This window comes from Homo sapiens, chromosome 8, assembly GCF_000001405.40.
Source record: "Homo sapiens chromosome 8, GRCh38.p14 Primary Assembly".
In the NCBI taxonomy this organism is placed as follows: domain Eukaryota; kingdom Metazoa; phylum Chordata; class Mammalia; order Primates; family Hominidae; genus Homo; species Homo sapiens.
In genome coordinates, this window is record NC_000008.11 from 78,701,881 (window position 1) to 78,721,802 (window position 19,922).

Consider the following 19,922-nt stretch of genomic DNA (forward strand, 5'->3'; position numbering starts at 1 on the left):
TTTGATTTGCTAGTATTTTGTTGATGTTTATCAAGGTTATTGGCCTGAAGTTTCCTTTTTTGTTGTGTCTCTGCCAGGTTTTGGTATCAGGGTGATGCTGGCCTTATAGAATGAACTAGAGTTGAGTCCCTTCTTCTCAATTTTTTGGAATAATATCAGTAGGAATTGTACCAGTTCTTTGTGCATCTAGTAGAATTCAGCTGTGAATCCATCTGGTCCTGGGCTTTTTTCAATTGGTAAGCTATTTATTACTGCCTCAGTTTCAGAACTCGTTATTTGTCTGTTCAGGGATTCAATTTCTTCCTGGTTCAGTCTTGGGAGGGTGTAGGTGTCCAGGAATTTATCCATTTCTTCTAGATTTTCTAGTTTATGTGTATTGAGGTATTCATAATATTCTGTGATGACTTGTATTTCTATGGGGTCAAGTGGTAATACCCCTCTTGTCATTTCTGATTGTGTTTATTTGAATATTCTCTATTTTCTTCTTTTTAGTGTAGCTAGCAGCCTATATATTTTATCAATTTTTTAAAAAGCAGCTCCTAGATTTGTTGATCTTTTGAATGGTTTTTCATGTATCTTCTTCAGTTTAGCTCTGATTTTGACTATTTCTTGTCTTCTGCTAGCTTTGGGATTTGTTTGTTCTTGTTTTTCTAGTTCTTTTAGTTGTGATCTTTGGTTGTTAACTTGAGATCTTTCTAACTTTTGATGTGGGCATTTAGTCCTATAAATTTCCCTTTTACACTGCCTTAGCTGTGTTCTAGAGAGTCTGGTATGTTGTTTCTTTGTACTCTAAGTTTCAAAGCACTTCCCGATTTCTGCGTTAATTTCATTATTTATCCAAAAATCATTCAGGAGAAGGTTATTCAATTTATATGTAGTTGTAGGGTTTTGAGTTAATTTCTTAATCTTGATTTCTAATTTAATTGTTCTGTGGTTTGAGAGAATATTTGTTATGATTTCAGTTCTTTTGCTTTTACTGAGGATGTTTTACATCCAATTATGTGATCAATTTTATTTTATTTTATTTTATTTTTGAGATGGAGTTTCACTCTGTCGCCCAGGCTATAGTGCTGTGGCATGATCTTGGCTCGCTGCAACCTCTGCCTCCTGGGTTCAAGCGATTCTCCTGCCTCAGCCTCTCGAGCAGCTGGGATTACAGGGATGTGCCACCACACCTGGCTAATTTTTGTATTTTTAGTAGAGATAGGGTTTCCTCATGTTGGCCAGGCCAGTCTCAAACCCCTAACCTCAGGTCATCTGCCTGTCTCAGCCTCCCAAAGTGTTAGGATTACTGGCATGAGCCACCGCGCCTGGCCCATGTGATCAATTTTAGAGTATGTGCCAGATGGTGATGAGAACACTATTCTGTTGTTTTAGGGTGGAGAATTCTGTAAATATCTATCAGGTCCATTTGATCCAGTGCTGAGTTCAGGTCCTAAATATTTATTTGTTAATTATCTGTCTTGATAATCTGTCTAATATTGTCAGTGAGGTGTTAAAGTCTCCCACTATTATCGTGTGAGAGTCTAAGTCTCATTGAAGGTCTCTAAGAACTTGGTTTATGAATCTGAGTGCTCCTGTGTTGGGTACATTTGTATTTAGGATAGTTAACTTTTCTTGTTAAATTGAACCCTTTACCATTATGTAATACCCTTCTTTTTTTTTTTTTTTTAAATCTTTGTTGGTTTAAAGTCTGTTTTATCAGAAATTAGGAGTACAACCCCTGCTTTTTTCTGTTTTCCATTTGCTTGGTAAATTTTTCTCCATCCCTTTATTTTGATCCCATGTGTGTCATTGCATGAGATGGGTCTCTTGAAGACAGCATACCAATGGATCGTGGTTCTTTATCAAAATACTTGCCACTCTGTGTCTTTTAATTGGGTCATTTAGCCCATTTACATTTAAGACTAGTATTGATGTGTGTGGATTTGATTGTCATAATGATGCTAGCTGGTTATTTGGCAGACTTGTTTATGTAACTAACAGTTTTACAGTATTACTGGTCTGTGTACCTCATTGAGTTTTTGTAGTGGCTCGTAATTGTCTTTTCTTTCCATATTTAGTGCTTCCTTCAGGAGCTCTTGTAAGGCAGGTCTGGTGGTAACAAATTCCTACAGCATTTGCTGGTCTGAAAAAGGTTTTATTTCTCCTTCACTTATGAAGCTTAGTTTGGCCTGATATGAAATTTTGAGTTGGAATTTCTTTTCTTTAAGAATGTTAGCCAGGTGTGGTGGCTCACGCCTGTAATCCCAGCACTTTGGGAGACCGAGGCGAGCGGATCACCTGAGGTCAGGAGTTCAAGACCAGCCTGACCAATGTGGTGAAAGCCTGTCTCTATTTAAAAAAAAAATACAAAAATTAGCCGGGTGTGGTTGTGTGCACCTGTAGTCCCAGCTACTTGGGAGGCTGAGGCAGGAGAATTGCTCGAACCCAGGAGGCAGAGGTTGCAGTGAGCCGAGATTGCGCCATTGTACTCCAGCCTGGGTGACAGAGTGAGACTCCATCTCAAAAAAAAAAAAAAAAAAAGAATGTTAAATATTGGTCCCCAATATCTTCTGGCTTGTAGGGTTTCCACTGAGAGGTCTGCTGTTAGTCTGATGGGCTTTCCTTTGTAGGTGACCTGGCCTTTCTCTCTAGCTGCCTTTAACATTTCTTCTTTCATTTCAGTCTTGGAGAATCTGATGATTATGTGTCTTGTGGATGATCATCTCATGAGTATCTTACTGGGGTTCTCTACATTTCCTGAATTTGAATGTTGGCCCATCTAGCTAGGTTAGGAAAGTTCTCATGGATGACATCCTGAAATATGTTTTTCAAATTGGTGCCATTCTCCTCATCTCTTTCAGATATACCGGTCAGTCATAGATTTGGTCTTTTTATATAATGTCACACTTCTTGGAGCTTTTGTTCATTCCTTTTCATCCTTTTTTTCTCTATTCTTGTCAGCGTGTCTTATTTCAGAAAGCCAGTCTTCAAGCTCTGAGATTTGTTCTTCGCTTGGTCTCTTCTGCTATTAATACTTGTGATTCCATTATGAAATTCTTGTAGTGTGTTTTTCAGCTTTATCAGGTTGGTTATGTTCTTCTCTATACTGGCTATTTCATCTGTTTGCTCCTGCAGTGTTTTATCATGATTTTTAGCTTCCTTTCATTGGATTACAATGTATTGCTTTAGCTCAGTGAACTTCGTTCCTGTCCGTATCCTGAATTCTGCTTCTTTCATTTCAGCTGTCTCAGCCTCAGCCTGATTCTGAGGAGATTCTCAGCCTGATTCCTGTTGGAGAGGTGATGCGGTCACTTGGAGGAAAAGAGGGCACTCTGGCTTTTTAAGTTTTCAGCATACTTGTGCTGATTCTTTCTCATCTTTGTGAGCTTACCTAACTTCAGTCTTTGAGGCTGCTTACCTTTGGATGGGTTTGTTTTTTTGAACAACTCTGGCTACTTTTCCATAGGGCTGCTTGTGTATGCTGGGTGTCCACTCCAGTCACTAGTCACCTTGGATTTTTCAGTAGCTGGAGGTGTCACCAGTGAAGGCTACAAATCAGCAAAGGTAGTGGCCTGCCCCTCCTCCTGGGAGCTTCATTTTAGGGATGCCTCAAACCTCTGTCAGCCAAAGAACACCTGTGGGTGTGGCTGAAGACTCCAGTTGGGAGGCTCCACCTGGTGATGAGGAATGGGACTGGGAACCTGCTTAATAAAGCAGTCTGGCCACATTTTTATGGGACCACTGTGGTGTGCTGTTGTACCACTTCCACCTCTGGGTCGGCATGGGCTCTCCAAACCCCAGAGACTGAAACTGCTAAGTTGCCCAAACAGCAAAGATGATGGCCTGCACACCCTGTGGGAGTTCTATCCCAGGGACTTTGCAAATCTCTGTAGGCCAGAGAACACCTGCAGGGCTGGCTGGAGGTCCCAGTTGGGAGGTTCTTTCCAGTGAGGAGGGGCAATATTGGGGACTTACTTAAAGAAGCAGTGTGGCCACACTTTCCTAGAGCAGCTGTGTTGTGCTGGGTTACCACTTTCGTCCCAGTTGGCTTTGGCTCTCTGTGGGCCAGAGAATACCAGCAGGGATGGTTGGAGGTCCCAGTTGTGAGGTCCTGCTCTGTGATGAGGAATGGATTGGGAACCTGCTTAACCAGCAGTCTGACCACATTTTGGTAAAGAAGTCATGCTATGCTGGGGAATCCTCTCTGCCTCTGGTTGGTTTGTACTCTCCAAAGCCTGCAGAACAGCTGAGTCACCCAAACAGCAAAGATGGCAGCCTGTCCCTTCCCCTGGGAGTTCCATCCCAGGTAGGCTCAAAACTGCTACTGGTGGCTGGCTGGAATTCCAAGCCAGTGGGTCTTATCCTGTGAGGTGTTATGAAAGTGAGACCTGCAGACTGTCTCTACTTGGTCCTCTTGATTCAGCCTTTTTTCCTAAGGGTATGTACGGGGGTCTAACATCCTGCTTTGCTGGAGTTGCAGTTACTTTTGCTGGGAAGTTTGGAGTTCCTGGGTCTTTGCCTGTGCCGGAGCAGCTGCTCTGCCAAGACTCCCCATATCTGTATGTCAGACTGAAGGCTCTAGTGGAGTGGCTTCACAAGGGCGTCTCTTGACCCAAGGGTTGCAAAGATCCGTTGGAGAAGCGTGGTTTCCCAGGGTCACACGTTCACTCACTGCTTCCCTGGGCCAGAGAGGTTCACCTTGCTCTGTGTCGCTCCAAGGTGGGCTGTCATCCTGCCTCTCTTTTCTTTGTTCTCTGTGGGTCAAGTTGTTTCCTTGATTAGTCCCAATGCAAGTACATGGATGTTTCAGATGAAGGTGCTGTATTTACTCACCCCTTTTCCTGTTATTTTCAAGTGTAAGTTATATGTGGCTCACATTCATTTTGGTTTTTATGTGGGAAATATATACAAAGATATCTGTCAAATGATAGTAACTACATTTTGCTTCTCAATTCAGACTACATAGAAAATGGAAGACCTAAAGGAATATAATGTAATTATCATTATAGAAAAGGAAAAAAAAATCAACCAACAATATCTTTTGAGTTAAGTGATTTTTCTTATTGTTGTGCTTCCAAAAACAAGAGACAGGCTATCCATAAGAAAGAGACAGTTTATCAGTAGATCAGGTAGTTGAAAAGTAAAAAAATTTTATCTTTTAGTGGTAAGAAACTGATCTGATTTATTTTCTTCTCCAATGAGTTGACTCATTGGATGATTAAGTGAAGTATAGACATAGCAATATGTGCTTTAATTTTACAAAGTCATTTTACCATATCACAGAGAATTGGCCTCCATGTTAGGTAACAATATTTGTTCATAGTGTTGTTTATAGTTTCACTTACAGTTGATCATAGATTAAAAGCTGATATTTTTCAGTATTTCTATAGTACTGGCAATTTTATCAGTTGGCAATATTAAATTGTACTGACACAGTATTCCTAGATAGGACGTGTAAAGCTGGCTGGTGTAATGAAGAGAGGCGCTGACCTTGGAGTTAGAAGACTAGGTTTCTGCATCATAATCTGCCACTAAATAGCTTTGGGCATGTATCTCTTTGTCATGCTGTGACATATTGTCTGACTGTGACAACATCTGTGACTCTGGTTAGACCTTGACAACTGATCCAAGAAAATCTGACCAACATACCTGGTTACTAATGGAAAATATGCTTTTGCTAACAAGCAGAGATTTTGAGTACAATAATTTTGTCAGTTGTGCATTGCTTATGATGAATGCCATGAAGAATACATATTTTTTGGCTATCCCACATCATATATAACTGTCAATCATACCTGTTCAAATTCTGATTGTCCATTCTGTATAAGATCCTTGCAGATTAAAGGAAGCTTTCCAACTACTGGAAAGAGAGCTGTGGAGCTCATTTCTACCAATATATTACTATATTAACTGGAACATTGTGTTACTGTATTAAATTAGAACCATTCATAGCTGTCTATTTAGTGACAGAGTTCCTTCCTTTTTTTTTCTTTTTTTTTTTTTAAGAATTAGTGAAGTAATGATTTGTTTCTCTTGCTAGATTGTAAGCTCCATGATGGCAAAGACTATGTCTGCCTTGCTTCCATTTGTAACTAAAATCTAGCAGAATGCCTAGGCTAACAAAAAATTTTTGGTTAAGTGAAAAAAGATAATAAATTAATTCCCTCATCTGTTAATCTATTGGCATGTCACAGAATTATCATCTGGTACCAGTGAAAGAATTACTTAAAGTTTGTATGACAACTGTTATTTCGATTTATACAGATGATTCAGGATTGAGTAAAGGTTGAATTAAGACATTTGGTCAGGTGTAATGCTCAATAAATTGAGCATTCGCTGAGATTAGTAAATGCTGTTATTTCAGTGGATTGCAATTATTTAAAGTCTGGTGTATGTAATCTTTATTGTAGTCCACTTTAATCAGGCATACCAGTGATCTGTAATAGAATCATGCCACAAAGAGATTTATTTTTACACTCAGAAAAATTCTCATATGTTTGGTTGTTTGCTTCTAGACAGTTTGTGGATTAGGCCAGGTGCAGTGCCTCACACCTGTAATCCCAACACTTTGGGAGAGTGAGGTGGGAGAGTCGCTTGAACCCAGGAGTTTGAGACTTGCCTGGGCAACATAGTAAGAACTCGTCTCCATTAAAAAAACAAAAACAAAAACAACCTTTTTAAACCTTTTTTTAAATGTAAAAAAAAGCAATCAAATCAATTTCTAGGTCAATTTTAACAGATTTGTTTAAAAAACAACAAAACACACCCAAGTAGAAAGTTTTTCCCTTCTTCTAAAAGATGATTATCTTTTTTTTTTCTTTTTTTTTTTTTTGAGATGGAGTTTTGCTCTTGTTGCCCAGGCTGGAGTGCAATGGTGCGATCTTGGCTCACCGTAACCTCCGCCTCCTGGATTCAAGTGATTCTGCTGCCTCAGCCTCCCCATTAGCTGGGACAGGTGTGTGCTACCATGTCTGGCTAATTTTGAATTTTTATGGGTTTTCACCATGTTAGGCTGGTCTCAAACTTCCGACCTCAAGTGATCCATCCACCTCGGTTTCCCAAATTGCTGGGATTACAGGCATGAGCCACCACGCCCGGCCAAAAGATGATTATCTTTAATACCAGGAAATTTTAGAAATACAGTGAAACACAGATCTTTTAAATAAATATTTCCCCATTTGAATTGTTCCCTAGAGTTTACACAGTTGTACCTTATTACCAGTTTAAATGGATATCTCAGTTAATAATTTTCAATAGTGAAACTATCAAATATCAGAGATTTACTTCCTTTTAGTTACTATGAAAAGCACATTTACTTTGGAGAGCAACTGTAATACACCTAAAATTAGAGCAACCAAAGGCATGTATGGAGCATTTTTTAATTTAAAAAATTGCATTTTGTTTCTCATACCTTATTTAAAACATTAAGAAGTAAATGTCTTTAGTTTTTGAGTACATTTTTATATGAATAGGAAACATGCTGTTTTCATAATCCAGTCTTTTGATGTGTGTGAAATGAATTTGTGTGGAGCGTTATGTGAATTTTTATGAACTTATCTTTTATTGTTGATCTAGAAATGCTTGTGATAACCTAGAATTCCAGACCTCGGTTTCTTATGTGGATAACAATGATTGGAGATTTTGGATAGGGAGCTAACTTTGCTGTGGAATTGAGATACTAATTATTTGTGTAGGATTGATAAATTTAGGATCAAAAGTAGAGGTATGACACATTTCAAAACTGCCTTAGAGCAGGGGGGTGTTCAATCTTTTGGCTTCCCTGGGCCACACTGAAAGAAGAATTGTCTTGGACCACATATAAAATACACGAACGCTAATGATAGCTGATGAACTAAAAAAAAAAAAAAAAATTTCATAATGTTTTAAGAAAGTTTACGAATTTGTATAGGGCCCCATTCAAAGCCATCTTGGGTGGCATGTGGCCTGTGAGCTGCTGGTTGGACAAGATTGCCTTATAGCATCATAACAACAGAGGTGTGCAAAGATACAAAATACCATCCGGTAAATTCTTTTCCCAATATTATTTCAGAAATCATCTTTTTGTTATATCTCAATCTACAGTACTTGCTACACTCCTACAAGGTACCTAGTAAGCCACACTAAAATTACTTATTTCGTAAGTGAATTCACTCTCCTGGTATCAACAGTAAATGACTTTTCCTATGTTAAAGTTTATTTCAAATCAGGGATAGGTTGATATCGTCACCATACTCATTCAGCTATGAGTATTTTGAAGGCCTGTGAAAGTATTATATGTATAAAATCTTGATTGTTATTGAGATTTATAGATTTTGTTTTTGATAGCCTAATGGCAACTTAGAATGTAAGTTATTAAGTGATTATAGCCTAAAAATAGCATTCATTAACTTTTAGCCTAAGTAACATTTGAGTTTTGAATGTACATATATATATATGCACACATATAAATCAAGTTGAATGTTATAATACAAGTATGGTTAAAATCATTACTGGAACCTGTCCTTCAATTAGGTTTTCAAAATCTGAAAATATTGGCAATCTTTTTATATATGTAATGTTTCCATTGGATAATTACCTTTAGGTTTTTATTATATTTTACACATCTTTCTTGAACTGAACTTTGTTGTATCACATGTAGGATTTGACCATTTCTTATCATATAAGAGGAATATGTTTTTAAAATATAGTCAAAAATTTTCTAAATTTTAATTTCAGGAAGTTTTTTCTGAGAAAGAAAAATTTTAATCCTTATTTCCAGAATCATGTAAGATAACCACTGTTTGGAAGAAAAATGTTTTGATAATTAAGGATTAGAATAAAATCTGAATGTTTAAAATTCCAATAGATGGGTTTCTTTGTACTTTAACAAATTAAAAACAAATTTTAATTTAAAATATTTTAGAAATTTTACTTAATACATTTATTTAATGAAGGCTGCTTTTAAGAACTTTAAATCCTCACGTAAACACCACCACCTGCAAAGTATTAATATCAACTTTTTCAACAAAATGCCTGCTATGTATAAGCTACTGAAAGAAGACAAAAATTAATAAAATGTGTCCCTCCTCTTAGATATCTATAATCTAGGAAAATGAACACATTCTTTTCAGACACTAAACTCCATAAGAACAGGTATCAGATCTATCTTATTTACCACCACATCCTGAGAATGGAGCACAGTGCCTGACACATAATAGATGCTCATAATAGATGCTCAGGGTTTATAGTCAGTGAATAAGTAAAGAAATGAGTGAGCAAATATCTCTTAAAAAGAACAGACTTTTAAAGTTAACAAGCAGTGATGTGTTATTCAGTAGCAAATAAGATTGTTTCCTAATGTCATAATTCAATTTTCCCTGCTTCCTACTATGACTAGATGTTGGTTGGTGATAGTTTATATGATTCAGTTATTTGGTTGGTTGATTTAAAACAGTGAAATATCCTACAAACCTGCAGTTTGTCCTGCTATCCTCTAGATGGAGAGCCTTTATAATTTTGGTCAAAATGTGTGTGTGTATATATAGGCCCCTTACCATTATTATATGTGATTTTTAGAATTGTCATCCATGTTTTTTTTTTCCATGCCGAGTCCTGTTTTACTTTGGATACATTTCAGAAATAAAGTCACTTTTTTGTTAGAAGTCAGTGGAGTTAGAAAGTCAAATGGAGTACATGTTATTTAGTCAATTCCTTATTTTTGGAATTTTAAAAAGCACGGAAATAAATAATATGAAGAGTAGAGAAAGTTTCCATGAATTCTGGGAGGAAGAAAAATCATTTGTGAATAACAGCATTCAGTTCACTTATAGCTTCATGATTTTTTTTTTGAAATAGTTGTTCTTCCTAAGTTTCTTCATTGATTCCATTGCCCTGCTGTGTATAATTTGACATTTGTTTGGATGTGTAGGGTAGCCTGTGTAGTCAGAATTTTCAGACCTAATAATGGACATTGTATGAACTCTCTGAGGATTCTTTTGGACATTAGTTCTTACCTTGACAGTCAGATAAAATTAAGGACTTGGGGAGTAGATATCTGATGAACCAGAATAATGTCTTTTAAAAAAACTTTATATAAAGAAGCAGTAGCAATCTCCTTATGGGTACACCTTTATATATTTTAATAGTAATATGGACAAGTTAGGCCCTCCACTTCGAACGGGAAGACTTGTGCAAAGGTTGTATGACAGTGATACAAAATCAGACAGTGCCATCAAAAGACATGAGTTATTACCTATTTACAAGTAAGTATTTGTAACTCAGTTTGGTTAATATTTTTCAGATATTTCCTTAAAAGCTTTATATAATGGAATAACATAACTTTTACTGTCCTATACTTAAAAAAATCTGTTGAATAATTTCTAAGCCAAAATGTGTCAAATAATCTAGGATTTAAAACATTTTGATTTTTAGTAAGCATTTCTGTTGTACTAAATAAAACTTTTTAGGTTATACATTTTATTCCATTAAATATTAATTTTTTGAGGTTTCAAATTGCAGTCACATTTAATAATTATTTTTATGAAGTTTTTTTTAGTAGTAATTAGGGTTTTTTGTAATAGTAGTTTTAAAAAGCAGAGTTTGAGAAAAATAATGTCTTGTACAGTATATAATATTGTTAGATTATCTCTTAGATAAGCCGATGGTGAACTATTATAAAAAGCCCAGAAAAAGAAAAGATTTTAGGAAACTTTCAATCCAAGGGTCCTTAGTCTTTTTGTTAGATGGTTGTAAATTCTGCCTACAACCGGGAAAAAGTATGACACTGCCAAAGAGTCAAGCTCGAGGAAGAGTATGACACAGCCAGTTCTGACCTGGCTGGCTGAAAAGAGTGTGTGGCAATGGCAGTTACTTTGAAACTCTACAGCATGAGTCTTCAAGGTTTACTAATTTGGGTCTCAATTCTAGCCCACATTTTAAATATGAAATTAGGGCCTAAAAATTAATATACCTATTAATGGTGGAAAATATTAAGCAGAGTAACTTAGTTAACTTTTAAACCAACACCTACTACAACAGTCTGCTCAGTATGTATGTATGAAAAGTAATAATAAATTTAACTAGATAAACAAAGGTAGGAGAAGTCTTTAAGATACTAGCAGCAGCCATTTGCTATTTTTAAGTAGTGATAAATCCTAGCAGGAAGAGTTTGTGCTGTGAGCCGTTTTTCATTTTGCTGATTCTACTGTCAGAACTCTCTGATGCAGATCTCACAGTAACAGTGACTAGCAGTAAGATGGATTAAGTACAATTCCAAAATTAAACCTTCTTTAATTATTCATATGAGCTGTTAACAGGTAGATTCTAGATACAGAGTAAGAGTAATGCTTTGCAGATTCTGAACAGAAAGAAAAATTTGTGGACTGTGTAAGACTGGGGCAAGATGTTTTAAGTGATCAAGGCCATTCTAGATGTTACTAAAAATAAATGACAGGTATTTAATATTGGTAGCTATTAATGATGATAATCTCTTATATTTTCCTCTAAATATAAACATTTTGAACAACCTCAAGTTACCGATATGGTGACATTATGTGTATATATTCATGGGTGTGTTTGTATTGTTTGTATATCTCATGCACTTAAGACGATTCTATAGCCAAAAAAAAAAAAAGTGTTCTTCCTATTTAAAGTCCATTCTTTGACAATGATTTCCTAAAGATTGAATTTCTAGAAAAAGACTCTAGTAGTTCTACAACATCCCCAAAGAGGCTATACACAAGAGTAGAGTAAACCTCATGAATGGACTTGGAGTGAGCATTTGAAGAGGTGCAGGGCATTCCATTCATGCACCAAAGTGATTCTTTGCTTGTTGAAGTTTAGAAGTAATTTAAAGAAGTAACTATGCAAAGCAACCACTTTGAATGACAGCATTGTGTATTGAATATGAGTTCTGTAATACAGCCCACTTAAGTTCAAGTACTACTCTGGCCACGTAGTAGCCTCACAATTTATATAATCTCTTTGAACATGCTTCCACTTTAAAATGGGAATAATATCTTCTGAGATTTGGGGGACATTAAATAAGGCATGTGTAGTATCTGGCTTCATAATTGTCATGTAGTGGCTGTTTGAAAAATAGTGGATGTTGTTATTACCTGCATGTACTTTGGAAGCAGCTATTTACAATTTTAGGGTACTCTCTCCTACTTTGCCATATAAGTAGAGTAAGAAAAATTTCAACTAAAGTTTAAGAACCTCTAATCTGGAGGTATTTTTTAAAGTATTCTGCTGTTCATATAACACTGTTCACCTGTGAAATTTAAAGATTTGATTAAAGCTCTATAGAGAGGGAGGGAACTATGCTTCAATGAACATCTAAATCCTAGCTTTGGAACACACTAGCAGGGTCACCTTGGGTAAGTTACTTAGGGGCTCTTTACCTCATTTGTCTTATCTGTAAATGGAGTTATGAACGCTACCTATTTCATAGGATTATTAGGATAAATAAATTTCTATGGGCAAAATAATTAGAATTGTACTTGACATGGAGTAAGCACTATTATATAAATGTTAACTTATAGTGGCAACAACAGTAGTAATAGTATTAGCATCAGCTATCTAAATGTTTATATGAATTGTACTTTTTTTCTCATAACCTTTCTATAAGTGATCATTTTATAAATGATGAGACTCAGACTTGCTGTCACAAAGCTGTCAGTAGCATTAGCATTTGAATCTAAATTCATTTGAATTCCCAAGCCTCTGCTTTTAGTGTTATATCATCATCATTTAGTTTTCTAACCCTTCTTTGATTCTTAAAGTTTCAAAATGGAGACTCATGGATGATCCAACCAGAAGTCCCTCTGATTTCGGATAGCCCAGGCTGTGCAGTTGGTAAAATTAAATCTTTAAAGGGAATATTATATTAACTCATTTATTTTAGTTGCTGCTTTTTAGAACTTTCATAAGTTGAATATTATTCTTTAATGTGACTAGCAAAAAAATTCTTTTTTTAACTACATCGTATATGCCTAGAATAATGAAACTTGTTTGTTTATTTAACCATTATCCGTAAGCATTTATCAGAATATATGTTTTGAGGGAAATATAAATTTAAACTGTTTTTAAAAATGTATCTTTCAGAATGATTACCTTATAAATTTCATGTAAAGCATATATACATATTTTAGTTGATTTTATTTACTATCAGAATAGTATTAGTAAATGCAAAATTATTTGGTTTATCTTTAATATTAACTACTATTTGCTTTCAGATTTAAAATAATTATTGGGACTTTAATCTTTTGAACTTCTCTGAAGCTTCTAAGTATTCTTTCTAGTCATGTGAATAGGTAATTTGAGAAATACATGCTCACTGTTCAATACTTTTCCATTATTTTTCCTCTTTTTTATAGAGCTAATGTCAAACCCCGAAATTCCACACCACCTAGTTTGGCAAGAAATCCTGCCCCAGGTGTGCTTACAAACAAAAGAAAAACATATACTGAGAGCTACATAGCCAGGTATGTTTAGCTCTGCTCTCCCAATAACTAAAATAAAATTGAGTATATGATAGTTTTCCAAGGACCATACACAAAAGTAAGTAACAAGCTATTTATAGAAAACCTGATTTTTTTCTTTTAATCTGGCTTTTAAGTTGTACACCTCTAATGGATTTGGGCAAAGTAAACTGAAAACCTTCTGTAAAGGATTAACCCTTCTACATGCCACTAAGAACGTATGTGATTTATGGGAGGAGGTCAAAATATCCACATTAATAAGAGTTTGGAAGAAGTTGTTCCAAACTTCATGGATGACTTTGAGGGACTTAAGACTTCAGTGGAGGAGGTAACTGCAGATGTACTAGCAAAATAGCAAAAGAACTAGAATCAGAAGGGAAGCCTGCAGATGTCATTGAACTGCTGCAGTCTCACGATAAAACTGGAATGGATGAGGAGTTGTGGTGGCTCACGCCTGTAATCCCAGCACTTTGAGAGGCTGAGGCAGGTGGATCACCTGAGGTCAGGAGTTTGAGACTAGCCTGGCCAACATGGTGAAACCCTGTCTCTACTAAAAGTAGAAAAATTAGCCGGTTGTGGTGTTGCACACCTGTAATCCCAGCTACTCAGGAGGCCGAGGCAGGAGAATTGCTTGAACCTGGGAGGCAGAGGTTGGAGTGAGCTGAGATGGGGCCACTGCACTCCAGCCTCAGTGACAGAGCGAGACTCCATCTCAAAAAAAAAAAAAAAAGGCTGTTATAGTGTATAGTTCATCTAGCATCTATTTTACCTTTATTACTGTTTTTTTTTGTTTTTGTTTTTTTGGTTTGTTTTTTAAGACGGAGTCTCGCTCTGTCGCTCAGGCTGGAGTGCAGTGGCGCAATCTCGGCTCACTGCAAGCTGTGCCTCCCAGGTTCACGCCATTCTCCTGCCTCAGCCTCCCGAGTAGCTGGGACTACAGGCGCCCGCCACCACGCCTGGCTAATTTTTTTGTATTTTTATTAGAGACGGGGTTTCACCATGTTAGCCACGATGGTCTTGATCTCCTGACCTCATGATCCACCCACCTTGGCCTCCCAAAGTGCTGGGATTACAGGTGTGAGCCACCGCACCCGGCCTAGTATGTTTTGTTAATAGATAATAGAGACCTCCCTGTGAGTGCATGCATAAGAGTTTGTTATTTATTGCATCACAATAATTTAATATCATTAAATAATAAAACTAAAATAAATACTAGAAGCATCACCTCACAATCCTTGTGACCAAGGAGAGAGACTTGAAACCTAAGGATCTCTATCTTTCCTCATGGTTGGGTTCTCTTTAGAGATGGGTTTGCAGAAAGGACATCATAAATGTTCATTCTGCTCCCAGTGTAGTAAATTCCTAGCACAAAGAACAGATGGAAAGCGATGTGGTTTGGATTTGTGTCCTGCCCAAATCTCATGTCAAATTGTAACCCTCAACGTTAGAGGAGGGGCCTGGTGATAGGCGATTGGATCATGGGGGTGGACTTCCCCATTGCTGTTCTTGTGATAGTGAGTTCTCAATGTATCTGATTGTTTAAAACTGTATAGTACCTGCCCCTTCTCTTTTTTCCTCCTGCTCCCACCATGTAAGACATGCTTGCTTCCCCTTTGCCTTCTGCTATGAATAAGTTTCCTGAGGCCTCCCCAACCAAGCTTTCTGTACAGCCTGCAGAACTGTGAGTCAGTTAAACCTCTTTTCTTTATAAATTACCCAGTCTCAGGTAGTTCTTTATAGCAATGTGAGAACAGACTAACACAGAAAGCATGGCTGCATTTGGTCATGGTAAATTCTCGTAACACAGATAAATATAATGTTAAAAAAAAATGTTAGAATTTTAGTATTTACTAACAAGGATTTTTTAAAATTTGAACTAGAGGAATATTAAAAACGAGATTAAGCAGGCTAATTGTTATATTTATGTCCTGTTTCTCCAGGGTTATGGGTTGAAAACTACTGATACAAACTTTATCTTTTCATTGTTTCTTTACTTTTTTAGGCCAGATGGGGACTGTGCATCTTCCCTTAATGGTGGAAATATTAAAGGCATTGAAGGACATTCACCTGGAAACTTACCAAAATTCTGCCATGAGTGTGGGACTAAATACCCTGTAGAATGGGCCAAATTTTGCTGTGAATGTGGCATTCGAAGAATGATTCTATGAATAGAATCTCAAAAAAAAAAAAAAGCCAAGTTCAGAGTTTATGATTATTGCTGCTTGGACAGCTAGAGCACATCCTCTAGTTAGTTTGTGCTAAAAATACTCGAAATACCATTTCCAGTTAATTTTGAAGTGTAATCTTTTGGCTATATAATGTGTGTATGTTTATATGTGTACATATACTGTATATAATAAATATCTGATACCCCAGACTGTGTCATTCAAGGAAATATTCACTTATCTGTCAGAAAATAATTTCAAATGGAACAATTAATTTAGGTGTTACTTTTCTGTTGTTGTTAAAGCACGTTAAGTACATTTCCACAAACTCTCATACTCTAGTGCTTAGCCCTTCAAGCTTTAGGATAAGTATAACTTTGAGCAAAAAATTTGGATAAACATTTGTATTATTGGTGCCTATCTTCAGATAGTATCATAGTAGGATAGATGCTGGGAATTTTGTAATTAAAGAGAACAGTTTTAGTTACCATTAGGTATGTTAAGGTCACTCCTGTAGAGCATGTCAACAAATTATTTCATAAATCCGAAAAACTAAGAGAAAAAAAAACCCCTCTATTAGTTACGTAATTTAAACATCTTACTTGTTTTGTAAAAGTGTAATTATGCAATTTCCTTTTCAAATACACAAGACTAAAAATACAAATCTATCTTGTTCTATTTATAACTGATTTTTTTTAGTTCTGTATGTATTCGTTGAACATATTTTTTTACTTCCAATTGTTTTTCCAGATTTCACTTTTCCTCTTTTTCCATAACCCGTGAAGATAGTTTTAATTTGCTAGTTCATTTTTTGCTGTATTTGAAAATGTAATTATTTAATATAGAAGGCACAGAATTCCCTGCAAAATCTTACATGTTTAAAAACATATAATTTTTTGTATCTGAATTTAGAATAAATCATTTTAATGCATCTTAAATCACGTCACCTAATCATAATAGTTGTGGTAACTAATCATTAGTGCAGAGCATGCAGATAAAAAATATTTGAATTTTTTTTTCTTGGAAGTACATGTAGTTATGAGTAGGTTAAGAGAATATCTAATTTTCCTACTCTTTTTTTCATCTTTAGCATTTAATGTTGAAACACCATTCACGTCACATTAAGGACCCACTGAAAATGTATTGTTTTAATGCATAATTGACTTACCTAATTAAACATACACACAAATTTAATTATTTTTTTCTCTTTAACCTGATCACGACACAGCTCTTAATCATTGTCACTTTCAGTATATCATAGTAGTTAGTAGTAGATTGCCTTGATGGCAGTAATTCTGTAGTAATTTCTATTCAATCAAACCTAAGAGAGCTTTGATCTTACTGTAAAGGTACAAACAAATCTCTTATATAATTCCTAGCTTTTTTTTTTGTTTATGATTCTGATCAACTATAAGACACAATGTAAAGAATTGTGGCTTATAATTTATCTGAAATTTATTAGCTTAGTTTAGTTTGGGCAGGAGTTACAAACTTAATAGGAATTGTCATTTTACTTACAGTTTATTTCCTGATTAGTTGTTAATTTTTTTCCCCTCAGTTATCTTTATTCAGTCTTATTGGTCAAAACAAAGAAACAAATAGTCCATCAACTAAAATAAGCTGTAATGAATTTAGAAGATGAATGCATATATTAGATTTCCATTTAAATCACTTCTGTTATAAATCATATAAAGAACTTTAAACTTGTTTTATCTAATACTGAGCACTGTTTTTTTGTCAAGTATTTTTTTAAGACCACATAATTCTTTTTGTCTGCTCAAGGAAAGGATAGATAAATAATTGGCACACATTTGTTTCTCACTGAATTTTACAGTAGTAAATTAATGTTATAATGTACCACATGGAGATGAGTTGGTAAGAAATCATCTAGTTCCAGAGCCCAGAGATTATAAACAGTAGGTGAAATAGATTTATGACTTACGAAATATGTTGTGACAATATATTTAAATGCATTTTTATATTACTTGCATATTCTCACATTGATTTGTGCAATAGTTCAGTTTTAAAAAAAATCTTCCTATGCATCATGTATTTTATTTTTATTTATTTTCACAAGTATTTGACAGTATGGTAGAATAAAAGATGATTGTAAGATTAAAAATGTAAAAATTGCTTATGTATTATTCTGAATTGTGTTAGGTTGAAAAAGATGATTGTGGTGACTATTATTTCTTGTCCACTATTTGTTTTTTGTTTTTTCACCAATAATGTCTTCATATTTGAACCTATTCAATAAAGACATGAAGCATAAAAATGCTAGTTCGTATTCACTGATGTCTTTTAGCCATACATAGAAAGATAGGAACCTAATGAAATATAAATAAAATATTTGAAGTCAAAAATAACAGATTTTTACAAATAAAAAGTAGCTTTTCATTGGCTGTATTCTTATGCCATCAGCTTTTTAAAATGTATTACCATTTTATTGAAGTGTTTTCTGACATCAAAGTATTAGAAATGTTTTTGTTACAAGTTTTTTAAGGCATTATCTTCATAGACTATTTAGCAGTCACAAACATTTGTGATGTCAAGGTTAATAGGAAACATGGACGTTTCTAGTTAAGAGCTATACAGTTTAATGGCAAAGTTATTTGTGATGAATAATATTTTAGACCACATTTAAAATTAAAAAGGAATTTAGTGAAATTTCAGATTAGACATGTTTGATTTTTTTCCTTAGGTTAGAGGTGAACATTTAACCATGAGTAGAAGCTCTGGAGATGAAAAAATATTAGAAAACACAGATAACAAAGAATCATCAGAACACTTGGGTATTTATTTTCATTGAATGTGTATGTATTTTACATGGTAAGTATTTTTTAGTATTGAGGTACGTTGATTTTTTTCAAATGACTATATTATTAAATAGAGCTGTGGAGAAATTAAAGCCACAATTTTTATTTTCATTTAGAAAAATTTCAGTTAAATGTTACTCAATGCTCCTCATTTTAAACACAGTTTTGCTTAGCTCATATGTGAATTGCTTTTTAGCCACTAGAGGGTGCATTTGGATAATTATTTCATAATATTACGGCCTATTCTTTTTAAGGGCCTCTCAGCAATATACATATGATTTTTTGACAACACGAAACTACAGAGATTTATAAGGGTAGTTTTCTTTGTTTTGTTGTGATTTTAATAATGTGTTTATATTTTAGAAATTTTGCCCAGCTCAACTGGGGCACCAGGATTGCAGTAATTGATAGAGATATTTAATAATTACACTTCATGATATTTTGTTAGCAAAATTATGCATCTCAAGCATATCACTTATGGACAATACATGGATTAGTAAATACTCCTTGAAATATTACTTTAATATTTCATCTTAGTTCTACCACAGTTTAGTAGGTTATAGTTTCATTTAAGATAAGGATCTTTTTTTCCCCAATCGTCTATTCTAATTTAACATTATCTAACACAAAAGAGTGTCATCTATTTAAATAGGAGCTAATAAGTGGTTAGATCAACTACTGTAAGGTGCACAAAGCTAAAGCTTTGTACTTACCATTGAAAAACGCTTTATGTGCTCTTTCTGGATATGCAATGATGGGGATCGAGATAATAAGATGTAATTAAGTGTCTGCCCTCAAGTTGATACAATTTATTTGGAGAAACTGATACCTAAACAGACAATTACAACATGGGACAAAAATAAGTGATTTATTTTAATGGAACTTTTGTTTATCATGAAGATACCAAAAAGTGCGGCAGAAATATTAAAGAGGGAGCTTCTTATAACCATAAATTATACAGCTCAGCATTTCCCATTTTTTCTTTTCTTCCTTGTGCCAATGCTTGGGAGGAAACCAGAGTATGAACAAGAACTGTTTTACCTTCTAGTGGAGAAAGGACAATTTGCAGTGGAAAGAATGTGTGTGTCGTCCGTTTGATCTGTAAAATGTGAACTGCTTCTGTAGTCCTGAGGACTGAGGAAAAGAGATGTTGAGTAAAAGTTACTGATAATTCCAGCTATTCAATCTTATCTCACTTTTTCCTCTCTTTTATCTCTGCCCAAATACCTCTACTTATGCACCTACTTTGAATTTGCAACAGTGAGGCTGGGGATAGGAGACGGCCAGTAGTGCTGAGTAGTGTCAAGTACAGTTAACAGTGAAATGCGGATTTTCACTCATCAAATCAGCAATCTTAAATTATAAAACTTAAAACCTGTCATGGGGCGTTAAGATGAATGCCCTTATGTACTGATGGTGGAAATATAAATAGATCATACTTTTTGAAAAGGTCGATTAAATTTACGTTAAAAGCCTTTACAACATTTGTGCTTCAT

At 35.1% G+C, this 19,922-nt stretch overlaps 2 protein-coding genes across 6 annotated transcripts in view; one reads left to right on the top strand and one right to left on the bottom strand.

Moving 5' to 3' along the window:
- The window catches only part of ZC2HC1A (zinc finger C2HC-type containing 1A), a 53,677-nt gene extending 35,792 nt beyond the window's left edge, over positions 1-17,885 (top strand). The window contains exons 8-11 of one of the 4 annotated variants that reach the window (NR_156423.2): positions 10,110-10,226; positions 12,747-12,819; positions 13,341-13,448; positions 15,448-17,885. Coding sequence is in view for 3 of the 4 variants with exons in the window: in NM_001362969.2 (NP_001349898.1) it covers positions 10,110-10,226; positions 13,341-13,448; positions 15,448-15,613 (391 nt within the window). In the remaining variant the exon portion in view is untranslated. Of the gene's footprint in view, positions 1-3,227; positions 8,828-10,109; positions 10,227-12,746; positions 12,820-13,340; positions 13,449-15,447 lie in introns of those variants that run through there. The other 3 variants (NM_001362969.2, NM_016010.3, XM_011517539.4) reach the window with 3 other exon arrangements.
- Positions 1-19,922, bottom strand: part of IL7 (interleukin 7) — a 130,420-nt gene that overhangs the window by 26,837 nt on the left and 83,661 nt on the right. The window contains exon 6 of one of the 2 annotated variants that reach the window (XM_011517522.4): positions 17,654-19,560. The exons of the other annotated variant lie outside the window; for it this stretch is intronic. Within the exon in view, the coding sequence (XP_011515824.1) occupies positions 19,471-19,560 (90 nt within the window). The 3' untranslated portion in view covers positions 17,654-19,470. Of the gene's footprint in view, positions 1-17,653; positions 19,561-19,922 lie in introns of those variants that run through there. 2 annotated transcript variants of the gene reach the window in all.